The sequence below is a fragment of the Homo sapiens genome, chromosome 8 (genome assembly GCF_000001405.40).
Source record: "Homo sapiens chromosome 8, GRCh38.p14 Primary Assembly".
In the NCBI taxonomy this organism is placed as follows: domain Eukaryota; kingdom Metazoa; phylum Chordata; class Mammalia; order Primates; family Hominidae; genus Homo; species Homo sapiens.
This window is the reverse complement of record NC_000008.11, coordinates 102,154,733-102,158,954: the sequence shown is the minus strand read 5'-3', so window position 1 is coordinate 102,158,954 and position 4,222 is coordinate 102,154,733. Positions and strand designations below refer to the sequence as shown.

At 37.6% G+C, this 4,222-nt stretch overlaps 1 annotated feature.

Moving 5' to 3' along the window:
- Positions 1,690-1,899: an enhancer, noted in NCBI's record as "active region_27744". NCBI's record gives its function as "activates an Ori minimal core promoter by ATAC-STARR-seq in GM12878 lymphoblastoid cells {active_cell/tissue: GM12878}" and the evidence as "EXISTENCE:reporter gene assay evidence [ECO:0000049][PMID:35858748]".

The window sequence follows — 4,222 nt, the reverse complement described above, 5'->3', positions numbered from 1 at the left end:
AGACAAAGTGGCACACCTCCCTTCACAAAGGCTACAAAGCTGCAGTCACATTCCCACCCAGACAAGAACAGGGTATGTGGTAGCCTTGAAAAACCAGACAGAGAACACAATGAACAGGGGTTCTTCTCCCTGAGGTGCCCAGAGCTGGTGCCCTGGCTTTGAAAGGGTAGACTTTCATGGTGTCTATTTCCCAGATGCCATTGCAAACAGAGCTCATGCAGAGAAATGCTGTACCAAGCCCGTATTTTAATATTGGAGAATTTACTTCATATGAGCTTCACCAGTAGTTTGCACACCAGCCTGGCTGTCTAAGACCCACTTGCGGGGGGCTTATAAACAATTGTATCCACTCAGATATTTATTATATCTCTAACATGTGCTAGTACTAACCTGAATGCTAGATGCAGGGATACAGCAATTAACGAAATCAAGTTCTGACTCACATGGAATTTACACTTGAATGTGGGGATATAAGTGATAAATACATAAATATATCCCATGTCATATGGTCACAAATGCTATGAGGAAACAAAGCAGGATAAAGCGGAGCTGCTTCCATCTCTGGCTCCACCATCTCCTACAGCTCAGCATCTACACCTGCAAGCTGGAGGCAACGAAAAGAGGACATGGAGGGGGTACCTCCACTTTAAAAAAGCCTTGGTCTGGAAGTTTTACATGTCATTTCGTTTTGTATTTTCTTAGAGTGAACTAGCCACATGGACACAACTAGTTGCAGGGCAGAAACTTAGAAATTTAAGCTTTATCTGAACAGTGGACTCTCAACCACCCCTGCATTCAATAGAAGGGGACAGTTTTTTGGTGGATCTCTAATTGTCTTTACCATAGTCCGTGGTCATCTTTTCATCACTATTGTCCTATTGTCGTGAATACACAGTTTCATGTCTAAATTAGAAATTAATATAAGGATCCCAGACCCTATTTTTTTTTTTAGTGGTATTGCCAGCTTAATAGTTTACTCTTTGGTTGTGCCTAATGGGTGATTCAAACTATCCAAGCGATTTCTAAATTCAATTAGTACATTTTTTATGTTTAGAAGTTTTATTTCTTTTCTCAGATCAGTTTGGTCACTTAAAAACTCTTGTTCTAATACCGTAATTTCAATCCCCTCCTTTCTTTCTTTACACACATTAAGTATCCTAATTTTATCCTCACTGTGTGATTATTTCAGTGTTTGTGGTCTCTGTGGTCTTCACCCTATTTGTTACCTAGGCTGACTCTCATTCAAGATGGCTTATTTCCATTGTGCATGTCTATGTGTAAACTTACTGAACTCGGAACTTTATTCTTTGAGGCCTGAATTCAGGACATTTCTCCCCAGAGGAACTGGGCTTGCTATCTCCAGACACCTGGCAGCACTAACAATCCGGACCTATGCTATGATACATTCTCAGCTTGGATTTTTCTGGCTTTACAGGTAGGTTGGATTCCAGCCCCAAACTTATGACAGGGTAACTTGTGGTTATGAATTTTTAAGCAAGATGTCAAACTTACCTCTTAAGAAAATAAGACTTAAGAGAACAAGCAAGTTTTCTTATCTGCCTATGTGGAACACCTTTTTTTTTTCTTTTCTAGTCAACTCTTCTACAGTGAATGTCATCTTTTGGGGATCTTGACTTGATACAAAGGTCTGATTTGATTTCTTTCCACTTCGTGCAGGCTGTAGACTTTATTTTCATGTGAACTATTAAAACTGAAACTCAGGTGGGCATGGTGGCTCATGCCTGTAATCCCAGCACTTTGGGAGGCCAAGGCAGGTGGATCACGAGGTCAGGAGGTCAAGACCATCCTGGCTAACACGGTGAAACCTCATCTCTACTAAAAATACAAAAAATTAGCCAGGCGTGGTGGTGGGCGCCTGTAGTCCCAGCTACTCAGGAGGCTGAAGCAGGAGAATGGTGTGAACCTCGGAGGTGGAGGTTGCAGTGAGCCGAGATTGCGCCACTGCACTCCAGCCTGGGCGACAGAGCCAGACTCCATCTCAAAAAAAAAAAACAACCAAAAACCAAAAAACAAAAACAAAAAACAAAAAACTGAAACTCTAAGCCACCACTGTTGGGGAATACCCCAGGGCAGCCACTGGTTTCCTTCACTTCGTGGCTTTCTCCTTATTTTTGGCTTCTGAGAAGGTCTTTTATTTTCTTACCTGCTCAGTGGTACAGAAAAGAGATTTTAAAATGTTTTCTCTCTCATTTTAGGAATATGTCAAAGATAGCTGGAAATTATTTGCAGATATTGGGGAGATACCTAAATATAATGAGCATGAAATTATAACTAAAATAAGTTAAAAACCCTAAATATTTTGCTATGTTTTACCAGTCTTCCTATGGAATCCTAAAAAATGTAAAAAAATATATCTTGTGGAACTGCAAAAATATTTCCATTTGAGCTTGTAGTTTAAATTTTCAGTTAATTCTTTTTGAGTTTTCTAGGTGAACAACTATATCACATCCATAAATTCTCATACGTTTACTTCCTCCTTTATTGTACATTTTTGTATTTTTCTCCTTTTTAGTTTAATTTTTCAGAACAATGTAGAGTGATAGTTATAAAGGATATGATTGTCTTTTTTCTGTCTTTGTTTCTTTCTGTCTTTAATATAAATATATCTAGTGTTTCCTCATTAAGCAAGGTACTATAGTTGAAATCATATTTTATCATGTTTAGGAAGCATGTATGTATTTTTATCCAGAGTTTTTTGGAATATCAAGAATGGAGTTTACATTTTGTAAAAGCCTTTCAGCATCTATGGAATCAATTATGTGATTTTTCTTTTTGATCTATTTAATATGGTGAATTATATTAATACATTTTCTAATATAAGTGATCTTTTCTTAAACGCCACATGTTCACTGTGTATTTGTGTTTTTTTTATGGACTGGTGAATTTTGTTTGCACTGCTATTAATTATTTTGTTATATTAAGCAAGATGCCACAGTTTCGATCAGATTGCATTGTGATTAGGAATTCCCTGGGTAACCACTGAGGACTCTCCACCCTGGCTGGTCAGAGCTATTGTCTTTTTACCATGTGAGAGCTCTGGGGAATTCTATGTTTACAACTCCCTGGTTCTTTTTTACTTTGTCTTGTGATGTTTCACTCTTTTGCATAATCCAGCACTCATCAGACTCAAGTAGACCTATATGCAAATCTCCGGGTCTTCTCATCTTCTTAGCTCCCTCCTATCCAGATCCTGGCCCACAGCTTCCAACTGGCTCAGTCTCCCCAAACTCTCATTTCCATCTCTTCATTTTCATGAGGCTACCAGGTTCTGCATGACTCCTCCTACCTGTACCCATAACCTAGAAATTGACTTCAAGCAAAATGCTGCAGTCAGTATGGGGCCCGGTTGTCTGTTTCTGTTTTTTCATGGATCACTGTCTTGTGTTGTCAATTGTCCAATGTCTGAAACAGTTGTTACATACGTTCAGTTTTCCAACCAAAAAAGCTTAAGTCTAGTCCTTGTTACTCTACCATAATTGGAAGCAGAAGGTTTTTGCTTTGGCTTTTTAACTATAGTTACTTTTATTTTTATATTGATTGCTCTACGGATTACATATGCATCATTAACTTATAGTCTTCTTAGACGTTATACTGAATTACTTCAGGAAAAATACAGAAAACTTGCAATAATGTAGTTGCAATTTTTTCTCATCCTTTTTGCTTTTTTTCATATATATTGCATCTACTTACATTTTTGGGAGATATAATTCACATACCATATATATGATTCACCCCTTTAAAGTATATAATTCAGTGGTTTTTATTATATTCACAAAGTTGCAAAACCAGAACATTTAATCCAGAACATTTTTCTCACTCCTAAAAGAAAGGCAATACTCATTAGTACTCACTCTCTATTCCTCTCTATCCCCAGCACCTAGAAACCACTAATCTATTTTCTGTCTCTATGGATTTGCCTATTCTGAACATTTCATACAAATGGAATCATATAATTTTGACATAAATTTTAAACCTAACAACCTGTGTAATGATGTTTGCCTTAGAGGGTCAAATGTCTTTCACATAAATTAAGAGAAGAAAAAACATGTAGTCTGTTTTAGTGTTGCATCTCACAGATACACTTACTCATGCCATGAAATAGACCACACTTATGCAAGTGTACAGCAATGTTCTGTGTTCCTATCTGGCACAGCTTGTGTAAATTTACAGGCAGACTGATGTTTCCTCTAAGTAAAACTGG